General features: G+C 37.8%; 1 long non-coding RNA gene across 1 annotated transcript in view; it reads right to left on the bottom strand.

The window, feature by feature from the left end:
- LINC01807 (long intergenic non-protein coding RNA 1807) overlaps positions 1-16,771 on the bottom strand; it is a 128,137-nt gene that overhangs the window by 79,485 nt on the left and 31,881 nt on the right. The gene's annotated exons all lie outside the window — the stretch shown is intronic.

A 16,771-nucleotide genomic window follows, 5' to 3' on the forward strand; every position in this document is an offset into this window, starting at 1 on the left:
TCTGCCATTTCTGTCCTATTTCCTCAATCTGCCTAGTTCTCTGGCTCACCTCCTGGGTATGACCTCTGGGTATTCCAAAACACCCTCCCATCTCTGATTTTCCTGACTTGTAATGAAGGCACATGCTCAAACACTCAAACACCTGTTGGTTATAAGAAGCCAGTCATTGGGAGGCCGAGGTGGGTGGATCACGAGGTCAGGAGATCAAGACCTTCCTGACTAACACGGTGAAACCCCATCTCTATTAAAAATACAAAAAATTAGCAGGGCGTGGTGGCGGGCGCCTGTAGTCCTGGCTACTCGGAAGGCTGAGGCAGGAGAATGGTGTGAATCCGGGAGGCAGAGCTTGCAGTGAGCCAAGATCATGCCACTGCACTCCAGCCTGGGCAACAGAGCAAGACTCTGTCTCAAAAAAAAATAAATAAATAAAGAAGAAGCCAGTCAATTTACCAGACAATCAACATGCATTTAAAAATAGAAAATTTACTTTTGTCAGTGTAAAATAAAAGAAAAACATATTTTTTCAATGATATTACCTATAAATTTAAGGAGTTTGGTAAAAACATGTACTTCAGTCTTAGTATATCTCAGGGTTTTGTAAAACAAGGTTAAAAATCTCAACACCTCTAAAAGTGAAGATAGATTTTTCATAAATAATACTAGTTGCTTAAATTTCTGCCATTTTTATGGCCTTTGTGGTACCTCTACATACTTTATTGCACGTAGTTTCCACAAGAAGCTTATGAGATAAATGTTATTTTGACTGTACAAAAGTGGAACATGAGATTCCCAGAGCCAATTGGCTCACCCAGTTTTCTCACAGCTAGTCTTTCCCCACCTAATATAGTGGCTAAAAAAAATAGGAAGGAGGGCAAGCATTTTGTTCTTACGGGGTCCCACTTAATTGGTACACAAATGGTCATATTGCTGATAAGCACCTCGATGTCTGGAATGACAACTTATTCACCTTCCTGCACATAGCAGTACCAAGGTGTTTGGTGGAATTATGCTTAATTTAGTAATATATTAGAATTTCAAAAATAACTCAAAACATAAAGTAAAATGAGAAAGACTCTTCCAAAAAATCATCCTTTGGGTTTTACTTTTCTTCAAACACACAATAATTATTCTCAAGATTTAAGAAAGTTGTTCTGATAATATGTAATATACTTTTTAAAATAACCCTACTGTGGTTGCTAATCTTTTTAATAAAAGATTTCACTCTTGTAAACATGAAAACTTTACTGAAAGCCAAGTCTTATTAGGATTTTTGACAAAGGTGGATAATAACATTTAGGGTTAAAAACTAAGACAGTTTATACAGTAGTAAAATGGTTCTTCTTGCATGACTTATTCATATGTTCTAAGGCAATTTTCCAAGAAAATTATTAAAATGTTCTGAGCCATAGCTGTATGGCCATTTAGTTAAGTTTCTAAAATCTTATTATTTAAATGAAGTCTCTCGACATTATTACTTGAGTGCAATCTGAAAATATATAAAATGTATTCATGATCTTTGAATTGGAACTTTTGTCCTCAACTGGAATTTCTCGTAAGAAAATAAAAATAATGCACACAAAGTTTAATGTACAAGAATGTCAATCGCAGCACAGTTTGCAAAGTCTAAAATCAATTATACAACTTAAATGTCTCTGTGGAATATAATGAAATAAGTTGTAAGGAATAAGAAATAAAGTTATAAGGTGAACTAATCATATTATACTTCTTAATATAATCATTTTATTAAAATTGAAATTATTTATAATATAGCATTAAATAAAATCAGAATGTAAATGTATTTATTTAGCTCTTAATATCATAATTACTGGATGAGTGATAATACATCAAAATAATATCAACTGAGTTTTAATATCATGGATAATTTAAACTTTGTGATTTTGAAAACTACAATCACCTGCATCAACACAACATAGCCATTAACACTAAGAGCCAGGACCACCTAGATCAACATGACTTTGTTATTTATTCCAAGAAACCGTTACCGTTACTAAGGAAATTGATGACTGTACACCAAAAATGACTTCAGTGTTTCCTTCAGAAAAAAAATCTCTGGGAAGTTGTTTCTCTGAGACAATAGTTTGCTTACCTGGGCAAATACGTCATTTACCAAAGCACAGTTTAGTTTTTAAGATTCTCTTCAGGACCCTCTCCTCACTAAGTCTATCAATCCTAATATATTACATTTCAAACTTTAACCAAGCTAGTTTCCCTTCTTGAAAGTACATGTTCTAATGCTCAGAAGCTCAGATATCAAAGTCCTTTAAGTACCCTTCTGACTTTCCCCTTCTGTGACACAGCTAAGCATTCAGTCCATTCTAAGAAATAGCTTTGCTTTATTAACAGATTGTTTGTTAAGACTTTAGAAAATAAACAACTGGCATTATTCATCACATTTTATCTTAAAGATATATTATTTTTATTAGGCAAGGTTTTAGTTTTCTGGGCCAGATATAGCCAGTGAAGAATAATAATCCGAATTATAAAAATAATGAGTCAAGCTATGTGAACCTTATAATACCCAGTGAAAGTATTCATCATTCTCAGCATTTTCATATATTAAGTCATTTAATTCTCACTACTGCCCCGTGAGATTAGTAGTGTTGTTACCATTTTGTGCCTAGTGTCACAGGACTGCCCCTTAGCAGAGCAGGGATCAGAGCCTGGGCTGTCAGGCCCGTTAACTGGCCATGGTCACCAATATGTCGTGCTACTTCTCATACAGAGACATTAATGTTTTTCTGCAAAGAATCAAGGCAAAGAAGATTGAGAAGGGTTCAAAGGATTGAGAGTGTTGGATTCAAGGACTCTACTTATGTTTAAAATATCCATAAAGAGGTCCGATGTGGTGGCTCACGCCTGTAATCCCAGCACTTTGGGAGGCCAAGGCCGGCACGAGGCCTTGAGATCACGAGGTCAGGAGATCAAGACCATCCTGGCTAACAGAGTGAAACCCCATCTCTACTAAAAATAGAAAAAAATTAGCCAAACATGGTGCCCTGTGCCTGTAGTTCCAGCTACTCGGGAGGCTGAGGCAGGAGAATCGCTTGAACCTAGAAGGTCGTGGTCTCAGTGAGCTGAGATCATGCCACTGCACTCCAGCCTGGTGACAGAGCAAGATTCTGTCAAAAAAAAAAAAAAAAAAAAAAGAAAGAAAGAAAGAAAGAAAGAAAAGAAAAAATATCTGTAAAGAATCTAGTGAGGAAAAGTTTCTCTTAGACTTTCTTTTCCTCTTTCCTAGTAATAGAACCTGGAATCTGATAAATTACTTCATTTAGTCTTCAGATTTATTTATCCTAAACACTGCCTCTGGTTTTATTTTAATCTAAATATTAATATTTCAATTCCAAGTGGAAAATCTCCACAATGTGATAAGATGGGAATCCTAGGAACAATATCACCTCTTGTGTAGGATGCTGTTCTGTGGCTGTTATATAACACTTTGGTAAATATCACAGGCATATTATACAGTTCAACTCTTACTGTTTCACTCTGAGACAAGATGGAGTTTACACACACACACACACACACACGAGAGAGAGAGAGAGAGGGAGAGACACCTTTTGTCAAGCTTGAGTGTATAAACCCTCTTCTACCCAGTATTTCTTGTGTCTGTATCAATACTGCAGAGCAAACATTGATGGTCCATCAGCATTTTCTCTGGAAAGCCTATGCATACTCTGAACACCTTACTTGAAATAGCAGCTATTCATAGAAATTACCATCATTTACACATGGAGCCTCACCAGAAGCAAGTTGTTTCTAGGATTCTACCCTGGAAAGTTTAGTCAATTCCCAATTCCCAGCATGAAGGATTCAATGTGGTGATTTAAAATTGGGATCTGGCTACATAGCTACTTCCACGTTGCCCAGTTAATATTCTTTCTTATTTACTTCCTACCTTCCCACCAAGAAAATATCCATGGATATGACCAAAGCAGATGTACCAAAAAGCACTTGTATATTTACGTTCAGACTTTTAAACCCAAGAGTCCAGCTGAAGCATGTGTGTGATCGAGATGTTGAGATTTGAAAATTTAACAAAATATTTCTATCAAAGCAGTGCTTATTTTCACAACAACTCCTAGATGAATAGAATAAATTCCTTGTAAAAGATTTATTTTTGAGCTCAGATTTTAAAAGCCACTTTCTACCAAACAGACAGCACAGCGTTGACCTTGAAGTAGGTGTGATAAACACAGCTCTTTCAGGTCTGGCTATTATTACAAAATGACTGAGCACAAGGGAGATCTGAAGGCAATAATATCCATTGGACAATAAACTCAGTGGAAGACAGGATGCTTGGGATAAATGGCGTGGGAGCTGAAAAGGATGTTTGATTTTCTAAATGGTTACATACTTGGGTAGAGTATATCTTCTTTATCTAATTCTTTCAAAAACATGTTATTTCCCCATTAGTATGGCTCTTTATAAAAATAAAGCACAAAGAGCATATTTCTTTCTTAAAGAACGTTTAACAGGGTAGGGCACAGTGGCTCATGCCTGTAATCCCAGCACTTTGGGAGGCCAAGGCAGGCAGATTGCCTGAGCTCAGAAGCTCGAGACCAGCCTGGGCAACATGGTGAAACTCTGTCTCTCCTAAAATAGAAAATAAAAATTAGCCAGGCATGGCGGCTGCACCTGTAGTTGCAGCTACTCAGGAGGCTGAGGCAGGAGAATTGCTTGAATCCAGGAGGCAGAGGTTGCAGTGAGCTGAGATTGCACCACTGCACTCCAGCCTGGGCGACAGAGCGAGACTCCATCTCAAAACAAAAACAAACAAACAAGAACATTTATCAAAATGATCACAAGATTCTTGAATTGCTGTTCTTATTTTAAGCCATTAGGTACTTCTCTTATACTGTGAAAATGTAGTCTGAATCTTAACTATTAGTATATGTAGCAGTGGAGATGTCATAGAAAAAATCCAAATTTATACTGCAAAAATATTTATATTACTGGTAAAGTAACATTTAAAACACCAAAAAACTATAAGAACTTATTGTAAGTAAAATGCCCACACATTTTTCTTTTTAGATGTAGTGAGTTGTCACAGGTGCGTAAAGTGTTTGAAAATAACCCAGAATTATCTGTCTATCCACTTCATAAAATCATATACTCGTACATGTATCTCCCAGTTTCACAAGTAGTAGACAAATTTAAAGTGTGATACTCAGTAAATACCAACTATGAGATTCACCAAAAGCAATCGTATTTATGATGTGTGGGGTTGAATTATTTTCAATTATTGGGACATCATAAAGCACAATACTCTGTACTTGTAGTGTACATAAATAGTTTTAGTTCACTTGCTCAGAGGAAAAGAAAAATTTCATCCATATTTTTGAGGCTACAGTGACTTTTAAACTCTCTTTTGTTTTTGGACTTTTAGGTTTTTATCTCTCTCTTCAAGCAAGCTATCTTTTGATCAAATAAATGTGCTAATTTGTTAATAATTTATTCTAAAATATGTATGTTAAACTTTAAAATACCTTGGAGGGAGGAACCAAGATGGCCGAATAGGAACAGCTCCGGTCTGCAGCTCCCAGCATGAGCGACGCAGAAGACGGGTGATTTCTGCATTTCCATCTGAGGTACAGGGTTCATCTCACTAGGGAGTGCCAGACAGCGGGCGCAGGTCAGTGGGTGCGCGCACCGTGCGCGAGCCAAAGCAGGGCGAGGCATTGCCTCACTTTGGGAAGCGCAAGGGGTCAGGGAGTTCCCTTTCCGAGTCAAAGAAAGGGGTGACGGACAGCACCTGGAAAATCGGGTCACTCCCACCCGAATACTGCGCTTTTCCGACGGGCTTAAAAAACGGCGCACCACGAAATTATAACCAACACCTGGCTCGGAAGGTCCTACGCCCACGGAGTCTCGCTGATTGCTAGCACAGCAGTCTGAGATCAAACTGCAAGGCTGCAGTGAGGCTGGGGGAGGGGCGCCCGCCATTGCCCAGGCTTGATTAGGTAAACAAAGCAGCCCAGAAGCTCGAACTGGGTGGAGCCCACCACAGCTCAAGGAGGCCTGCCTGCCTCTGTAGGCTCCACCTCTGCGGGCAGGGCACAGACAAACAAAAAGACAGCAGTAACCTCTGCAGACTTAAATGTCCCTGCCTGACAGCTTTGAAGAGAGCAGTGGTTCTCCCAGCATGCAGCTGGAGATCTGAGAACGGGCAGACTGCCTCCTCAAGTGGGTCCCTGACCCCTGACCCCCGAGCAGCCTAACTGGGAGGCACCCCCCAGCAGGGGCACACTGACACCTCACACGGCAGGGTATTCCAACAGACCTGCAGCTGAGGGTCCTCTCTGTTAGAAGGAAAACTAACAAACAGAAAGGACATCCACACCAAAAACCCATCTGTACATCACCATCATCAAAGACCAAAAGTAGACAAAACCACAAAGATGGGGAAAAAAACAGAACAGAAAAACTGGACACTCTAAAAATCAGAGCGCCTCTCCTCCTCCAAAGGAACACAGTTCCTCACCAGCAACAGAACAAAGCTGGATGGAGAATGACTTTGACGAGCTGAGAGAAGAAGGCTTCAGACGATCAAATTACTCTGAGCTACAGGAGGACATTCAAACCAAAGGCAAAGAAGTTGAAAACTTTGAAAAAAATTTAGAAGAATGTACAACTAGAATAACCAATACAGAGAAGTGCTTAAAGGAGCTGATGGAGCTGAAAACCAAGGCTCCAGAACTACGTGAAGAATGCAGAAGCCTCAGGAGCCGACGCGATCAACTGGAAGAAAGGGTATCAGCAATGGAAGATGAAATGAATGAAATGAAGCGAGAAGGGAAGTTTAGAGAAAAAAGAATAAAAAGAAATGAGCAAAGCCTCCAAGAAATATGGGACTATGTGAAAAGACCAACTCTACGTCTGACTGGTGTACCTGAAAGTGATGGGGAGAATGGAACCAAGTTGGAAAACACTCTACAGGATATTATCCAGGAGAACTTCCCCAATCTAGCAAGGCAGGCCAACATTCAGATTCAGGAAATACAGAGAGCACCACAAAGATACTCCTCGAGAAGAGCAACTCCAAGACACATAATTGTCAGATTCACCAAAGTTGAAATGAAGGAAAAAATGTTAAGGGCAGCCAGAGAGAAAGGTCGGGTTACCCTCAAAGGGAAGCCCATCAGACTAACAGCGGATCTCTCGGCAGAAACCCTACAAGCCAGAAGAGAGTGGGGGCCAATATTCAACATTCTTAAAGAAAAGAATTTTCAACCCAGAATTTCATATCCAGCCAAACTAAGCTTCATAAGTGAAGGAGAAATAAAATACCTTACAGACAAGCAAATGCTGAGAGATTTTGTCACCACCAGGCCTGCCTTACAAGAGCTCCTGAAGGAAGCACTAAACATGGAAAGGAACAACCGGTACCAGCCGCTGCAAAATCATGCCAAAATGTAAAGACCATCGAGACTAGGAAGAAACTGCATCAACTAACGAGCAAAATAACCAGCTAACATCATAATGACAGGATCAAATTCACACATAACCATATTAACTTTAAATGTCAATGGACTAAATGCTCCAATTAAAAGACACAGACTGGCAAATTGGATAAAGAGTCAAGACCCATCAGTGTGCTGTATTCAGGAAACCCATCTCACATGCAGAGACACACATAGGCTCAAAATAAAAGGATGGAGGAAGATCTACCAAGCCAATGGAAAACAAAAAAAGGCAGGGGTTGCAATCCTAGTCTCTGATAAAACAGACTTTAAACCAACAAAGATCAAAAGAGACAAAGAAGGCCATTACATAATGGTAAAGGGATCAATTCAACAAGAAGAGCTAACTATCTTAAATATGTATGCACCCAATACAGGAGCACCCAGATTCATAAAGCAAGTCCTGAGTGACCTACAAAGAGACTTAGACTCCCACACATTAATAATGGGAGACTTTAACACCCCACTGTCAACATTAGACAGATCAACGAGACAGAAAGTCAACAAGGATACCCAGGAATTGAACTCAGCTCTGCACCAAGCGGACCTGATAGACATCTACAGAACTCTCCACCCCAAATCAACAGAATATACATTTTTTTCAGCACCGCACCACACCTATTCCAAAATTGACCACATACTGGGAAGTAAAGCTCTCCTCAGCAAATGTAAAAGAACAGAGATTATAACAAACTATCTCTCAGACCACAGTGCAATCAAACTAGAACTCAGGATTAAGAATCTCACTCAAAACCGCTCAACTACATGGAAACTGAACAAACTGCTCCTGAATGACTACTGGGTACATAACGAAATGAAGGCAGAAATGAAGATGTTCTTTGAAACCAACGAGAACAAAGACACAACATACCAGAATCTCTGGGACGCATTCAAAGCAGTGTGTAGAGGGAAATTTATGGCACTAAATGCCCACAAGAGAAAGCAGAAAAGATCCAAAATTGACACCCTAACATCACAATTAAAAGAACTAGAAAAGCAAGAGCAAACACATTCAAAAGCTAGCAGAAGGCAAGAAATAACTAAAATCAGAGCAGAACTGAAGGAAATAGAGACACAAAAAACCCTTCAAAAAATTAATGAATCCAGGAGCTGATTTTTTGAAAGGATCAACAAAATTGATAGACCGCTAGCAAGACTAATAAAGAAAAAAAGAGAGAAGAATCAAATACACGCAATAAAAAATGATAAAGGGGATATCACCACCGATCCCACAGAAATACAAACTACCATCAGAGAATACTACAAACACCTCTACGCAAATAAACTAGAAAATCTAGAAGAAATGGATAAATTCCTCGACACATACACTCTCCCAAGACTAAACCAGGAAGAAGTTGAATCTCTCAATAGAACAATAACAGGAGCTGAAATTGTGGCAATAATCAATAGCTTACCAACCAAAAAGAGTCCAGGACCAGATGGATTCACAGCCGAATTCTACCAGAGGTACAAGGAGGAACTGGTACCATTCCTTCTGAAACTATTCCAATCAATAGAAAAAGAGGGAATCCTCCCTAACTCATTTTATGAGGCCAGCATCATTCTGATACCAAAGCCAGGCAGAGACACAACAAAAAAAGAGAATTTTAGACCAATATCCTTGATGAACATTGATGCAAAAAACCTCAATAAAATACTGGCAAAATGAATCCAGGAGCACATCCAAAAGCTTACCCACCATGATCAAGTGGGCTTCATCCCTGGGATGCAAGGCTGGTTCAATATACGTAAATCAATAAATGTAATCCAGCATATAAACAGAGCCAAAGACAAAAACCACATGATTATCTCAATAGATGCAGAAAAACCTTTGACAAAATTCAACAACCCTTCATGCTAAAAACTCTCAATAAATTAGGTATTGATGGGACGTATCTCAAAATAATAAGAGCTATCTATGACAAACCCACAGCCAATATAATACTGAATGGGCAAAAACTGGAAGCATTCCCTTTGAAAACTGGCACAAGACAGGGATGCCCTCTCACCACTCCTATTCAACATAGTGTTGGAAGTTCTGGCCAGGGCAATTAGGCAGGAGAAGGAAATAAAGGGTATTCAATTAGGAAAAGAGGAAGTCAAATTGTCCCTGTTTGCACATGACATGATTGTATATCTAGAAAACCCCATTGTCTCAGCCCAATATCTCCTTAAGCTGATAAGCAACTTCAGCAAAGTCTCAGGATAAAAAATCAATGTACAAAAATCACAAGCATTCTCATACACCAACAACAGACAAACAGAGAGCCAAATCATGAGTGAACTCCCATTCACAATTGCTTCAAAGAGAATAAAATACCTAGGAATCCAAATTACAAGGGATGTGAAGACCTCTTCAAGGAGAACTATAAACCACTGCTCAATGAAATAAAAGAGGATACAAACAAATGGAAGAACATTCCATGCTCATGGGTAGGAAGAATCAATATTGTGAAAATGGTCATACTACCCAAGGTAATTTACAGATTCAATGCCATCCCCATCAAGCTACCAATGACTTTCTTCACAGAATTGGAAAAAACTACTTTAAAGTTCATGTGGAACCAAAAAAGAGCCCGCATCGCCAAGTCAATCCTAAGCCAAAAGAACAAAGCTGGAAGCATCACACTACCTGACTTCAAGCTATACTACAAGCCTACAGTAACCAAAACAGCATGGTACTGGTACCAAAACAGAGATATAGATCAATGGAACAGAACAGAGCCCTCAGAAATAATGCCGCATATCTACAACTATCTGATCTTTGACAAACCTTAGAAAAACAAGAAATGGGGAAAGGATTCCCTATTTAATAAATGGTGCTGGGAAAACTGGCTGGCCATATGTAGAAAGCTGAAACTGGATCCCTTCCTTACACCTTATACAAAAATCAATTCAAGATGGATTAAAGACTTAAATGTTAGACCTAAAACCATAAAAACCCGAGAAGAAAACCTAGGCATTACCATTCAGGACATAGGCATGGGCAAGGACTTCATGTCTAAAACACCAAAAGCAATGGCAACAAAAGACAAAATTGACAAATGGGATCTAATTAAACTAAAGAGCTTCTGCACAGCAAAAGAAACTACCATCAGAGTGAACAGGCAACCTACAAAATGGGAGAAAATTTTCGCAACCTACTCATCTGACAAAGGGCTAATATCCAGAATCTATAATGAACACAAACAAATTTACAAGAAAAAAACAAACAACCCCATCAAAAAGTGGGCGAAGGACATGAACAGACACTTCTCAAAAGAAGACATTTATGCAGCCAAAAAACACAAGAAAAAATGCTCATCATCACTGGCCATCAGAGAAATGCAAATCAAAAACACAATGAGATACCATCTCACACCAGTTAGAATGGCAATCATTAAAAAGTCAGGAAACAACAGGTGCTGGAGAGGATGTGGAGAAATAGGAACACTTTTACACTGTTGGTGGGACTATAAACTAGTTCAACCATTGTGTTAGTGTGGCGATTCCTCAGGGATCTAGAACCGGAAATACCGTTCGACCCAGCCATCCCATTACCGGGTATATACCCAAAGGACTATAAATCATGCTGCTATAAAGACACATGCACACGTATGTTTATTGCAGCATTATTCACAATAGCAAAGACTTGGAACCAACCCAAATGTCCAACAATGATAGACTGGATTAAGAAAATGTGGCACATATACACCATGGAATACTATGCAGCCATAAAAAATGATGAGTTCATGTCCTTTGTAGGGACATGGATGAAATTGGAAATCATCATTCTTAGTAAACTATCGCAAGAACAAAAAACCAAACACTGCATATTCTCACTTATAGGTGGGAATCGAACAATGAGATCACATGGACACAGGAAGGGGAATATCACACTCTGGGGACTGTGTTGGGGTGGGGGGAGCGGGGAGGGATAGCATCAGGAGATACACCTAATGCTAGATGACGAGTTAGTGGGTGCAGCGCACCAGCATGGCACATGTATACATATGTAACTAACCTGCACAATGTGCACATGTACCCTAAATCTTAAAGTATAATAAATAAAAAAGTCACTATGATCTGCATAGGGTTTCTCAAGCAGCCGCATCAACTACTTGTGCAAACAATGGTGCCAATGCCACCGAAAATGCCACCTCAGTGGTCAAGACAAAGTTTGTCTACTTCAGTTCCCTCACAGGAAAAGTGATATCAAATAGAGTACCACTAAAGCTTTGATGTGTTGGTAGGCTTTCATAGTGTTATGTTACTCGTTTCTATGAAACACATGCTCATTTTGGTTACTGCCTATAACAACCAGAAAAGTATGCAAACAGCGTTTATGAACTCTTTTTATAACCAAATCCACTTTGGGTAAACTAAAGATGCCTCATGGTTTTCCAGAGAATTACAGCTGTAAGGGTGCTCAGGTACCATGATGTGTGCAGGAACTCAACAAAGACTGAGAGATGCTTCAATGTATTTTGAGCATAAAACAGACTCTTGTAGTGTCAGAGGCACTTATTTTAGAGGGCTTGGATTTTTTAGGATCATTTCTTTCCCCTCCATTGACCAGGCGGAGTCTTGTAGAAATCTAATTAACCTGCATATAGTGAGGGATTTGGTTAGCTCCCAGGAATAAGACAATGAAGAGTTATTACATCATTACATTTTTCTAAATTCTTTGCAAATAATATTATTTTGGTGGGCTGGAGGAAGAAGAATTAAGCCAAACTTAAGGCCTCTGGATACAATGGAGGTTTTTCTTATCTGTTTTGCAAGAAAAAGAATAAACGTGAATTCAGTAGTGATAATGGACTGAATTTTCTGAGCTGGCAAAATGTATATTTTAAACTGATTTTCTGTTGTGTGAGATCCAATTACTTCTGTTAAACTATTTTAAAATTCAATATAGCTTCCTCCTATCCATGACTATTAGAAAGAGGGAAAGCACAGAATATGTATTTTCTAAGAATTCTTTTCCTAGTTATGTGAATCATAATAAAGAATTCATCACATTACATTGATAATTATTACTGATAGTAAAATTTAAGAGAAAACAAGAATCCTACTGTTTTCCAAACTGGTGAATACAGCTTATACAATATACATACGTGAGAAACTTGAAAAATAAATTACATGATCATACTATCCACAGAAAAATAATGAGCTGAAAATAAATAATTCTTATTAAATAGCTACACATATTTCAAAACAAATATGTAAACACATCATGTCAATTATTTAAGAAAACTACTTTTTCTTCCTCAGTTGAATATCTTAGAGGGAATAAAAATTATCCATAATATAATAATATAATAAAAAGTCAGAGGATTGATAATACCAGTTAACATACTTTTAAAAATCATTTTATACAGAAAAATCTTCCAAATATACTGCTTGTTCATAAGCCTCTTTGCAATTATCATTCAATACATGCACTTCTATTAAATTCAAGCTAAACATGAAAAAATAAAAATAAATAAATAAATAAAATACCTTGGAAATGTTTTTCTTTATGGAGAATATTTGTTTCATTAAATAAATGTGCTAATTTATTAATAATTTATTCTAAAATATGTATGTTAAACTTTAAAATACCTTGGAAATGTTTTTCTTTATGGAGAATATTTGTTTCATTTCTCCTATCACTCTTGAATTGGTAATAGGGTTATCAGAAAATGTGTAAATGGTATAAGTTGAGAAATAAACATAACATAAAAGGCAAAAGCTAAGATGTACAAATAAACAGCTTAGTTCATTCCGGTTTTATACACATGGTGCCAAAATGGCTATCAAATTCAGGGTTGATTAGCTGTCAGTCAAGGACTGCAGAGAGTTAAGCTAGTAGCCACACAGTCAGGAACATTTAGGCCATTTGGAAGACATCCAGACATGCTGAACTAGTTTAATGACTTGTGTTAGAAATAGTAGGTGACATTTTTCTCCCTTCAGTCTCTTGATCTCTACCACTAGTTACAATAGAATTGTATGAGAATGTTGAGGTTCTGGTGATTTAATGAGGTGTCACTGCACAATTTTTATTCTGCTACAATGACAGTTTTGGAACATTTTTGCTTCTCTCAGTCTCTAGCCATGCTGGCTTTTGTCATTAAGTGGCCATTGTGATCTTTGATGTATAATGATGGGGAGTGCTGTCAAGAAGCAAAATCATGGTTGTTACATGGTTTGGGTCAGCCACAGCAGTCAGTTTTTTTTGTGTGTGTACAGCAATATTGGCTATTGTTGCCATAAGAATGGTGGAAATGATTGGGGTAGGAGAGTGAATTGCAGCCCAACTGAAGAATAATAAGCCACCTCTTCAATTTTAACCTGAAAATGACAATTTTTTTTAAAAAAAAGTAGGTTCATGCACTAAGATTAGAAAAAACTGAATACCAAATTCATACAATTTGACTTTTGCTTTAACTATCAAATATCAAAATTCAAGTTAATACAGATTCAATTTGTGCTAAATATTTCACTTTAAACCCTCTTTTTCAAGAACACTTGGCATCAACAAAGAGTGAATTTGGTCTTAGTTTCCCTTTCTTTTTCCTTCCCCCCACCAAGTCTAAGAACTAGTAAAATTCTTAATCTCATGTCAATGGAACACTTTTAAAATTCCTATTTAATGTGTCTTTCTTTGCCTTGTAAACCAGAGACTCTTCATTTTGTGTTCAAAAATTTAAAAAGACCAAACACAGTAAGCTGCTTTATAATTCTTTTTTTATTCATTGATGTTTGTGAAATACACACTATCCGTAACTATTGGGAAATGTGACGTTTACATAGCAGAAAACCCATCTACACTGACGGACATAGAATTTAGAGGAATCCAAATTTTTGTTTGCCAAAATAACAGATTAACTGTTTATCATTCCAATTCATCAGAGTCTAAAGGGAAGCATTTAATGGGAACGATCTAATTTCTCTCCAGAGCTTTTAAGTCCCTGCACTCCCAGAAATACAATCTTTTCTCTCCCTACCACGGAGGCATTGCATGGACAGTGCATATTTCACATGAGAACATTAATATCAAACACTTCATATCAAGTATAGCACATAGTAGGCAATGGATAAACATCAGCTATAATTATTTAGTGAAAGTTGAAATCATGCCTTTCCTTCAAAGAAACTGTGTTTCATAAAATATTTTAGGTGAAGATTAATATACACAAATCCTTCTCTGTTTTTTGAAATTGCTGAAAATTCATGCAAAGTCATAAAGCAAACCAAGGCAAGCCTCACGCTGCCTCTAAAATATCTTATTTAATAAAAATCATCAGGCTGGGAGCGGTGGCTCACGCCTGTAATCCCAGCACTTTGGGAGGCCGAGGTGGGTGGATCACGAGGTCAGGAGATTGAGACCACGGTGAAACCCCATCTCTACCAAAAATACAAAAAATTAGCCGGGCGCGGTGGCGGACGCCTGTAGTCCCAGCTACTCGGGAAGCTGAGGCAGGAGAATGGCATGAACCCGGGAGGTGGAGCTTGCAGTGAGCCGAGATCGTGCCACTGCACTCCAGCCTGGGCGACAGAGCGAGACTCCATCTCAAAAAAAAAAAAAAAAAAAAATCATCACCAGCATGAAACTTGGCAGAAGTGAGACTTGATTCCAGTGCTTGTTTTTGCTACAATGTTTTGCAATTTGGGTAGCCTATTAGCTGCGAAGCCCTGTCATATCTCCCAGCAAAGCAGATATAGATATTTTATCAAATATTTTGTTGACTGATTTTTAAATTGTTTTATTATAACACATATAATAGATTGTGAATTCATAATGAAAACAGGTATTTTTTCCTTTCTTTCCAAATGATTACAGGACTTGGTACCAGCTGACACACGTGGCTGACAGCAGCTGATAATGAAGCCTTTTCTCCCTGGTAAAGGTTTGAGGTTGAAGCCTTTGTTTCTGTGAACTTTAAATTTCAAAACCTCCTTAATACTGAAAACTTTTTTTCCAAAATAAACGTTTTCCCTTTGAAAAAATATATTGATTTAGGATTAAACTTTTCCAAAATATTGTAAATATCTTCAATATCTGTTAAGACATGTATTTTCCTTGGATGTGGTGTGTGTGTGTGTGTGTGTGTGTGTATTTAACCAGCTTACTTGGAATGAGAGTTTATTTGCCTTAAACATACATGTATTTCAAAATCTTTTTTTCAATGTGCTACAAAGGTACAAAATATTTTATATACGATTTTGAAGAATGAAGTGTAGATTCACTTCCATTATTTTAGATCATCACCAACAAATGATTATGTGTGCAGCCAAACATTCTGCATTCCAGTTTTGGTGAAAAAAAAGGATATTTACTTTTATTACTATAAAATATAGTCTCAAATGTATAATTATTGTTCTAATTTTTTTTTTTTTTTTTTGAGACAGAGTCTCACTCTGTCACCCAGGCTGAAGTACAGTGGCGCAATCTCGGCTTACCGCAACCTCAGCCTCCCAGGTTCAAGCGATTCTCCTGCCTCAGCCTCCCAAGTAACTGGGATTACAGGTATGCACCACCACGCCCGGCTAATTTTTGTATTTTTCATAGAGATGGGGTTTCACCATGTTGGCCAGGTTGGTCTCAAACTCCTGACCTCAGGTGATCTACCTGCTTTGGCCTCCCATAGTGCTGGGATTACAGGCGTGAGTCACCATGCTCGGCCGTCATCCTAATTCTTTATCAGATTAACTCACATATATATTTTAAAACCCAAATTGTACCACAAGGTTTATGACTAAAAACACAAGTAACTATCCAGCCACTTCAAATTTTTGATTCCCACTTTCGGTTTGTGTGTCTTTATTATTTCACCTTTTCCCCCAACTTTTTGGAGGTACCATTGACAATTCAAATGTATACACTTAAGGTGTCAAAGTTGATCATTTACTATATGTATACCTTGTGAAATATTCACCAATCAAGCTACTTAACATACCCATAATCTCAGGTAGTTACTTTGCGTGTGTTTGTGTGTATATGTGTGTGTGTGTACTTGTGTGCCAAGAACACTTAAAGTCGGCCCGCCTAGCAAAATTGAAATATACAATACAATATGGTTTACTATCACCACATTGTTCTATGTTAGAGTTCCAGAATTTATTTATCTTGTATAACTGAAATTTTGTACCCCTCGACTAACATCCAAAGACAAACACTTTATTTCAGCTGAACACATTCATTTACATTTCTATGTAACATTTCTTGATTTTTTTCTTGATAGTCCTTATCTTATCATCAAACATATATATGGTGAACATGGTGTCTCTCCTCTGATCTTCTGACTGTTGTGATGTAATAG

The sequence above is a fragment of the Homo sapiens genome, chromosome 2, assembly GCF_000001405.40.
Source record: "Homo sapiens chromosome 2, GRCh38.p14 Primary Assembly".
Classification (NCBI taxonomy): Eukaryota; Metazoa; Chordata; class Mammalia; order Primates; family Hominidae; genus Homo; species Homo sapiens.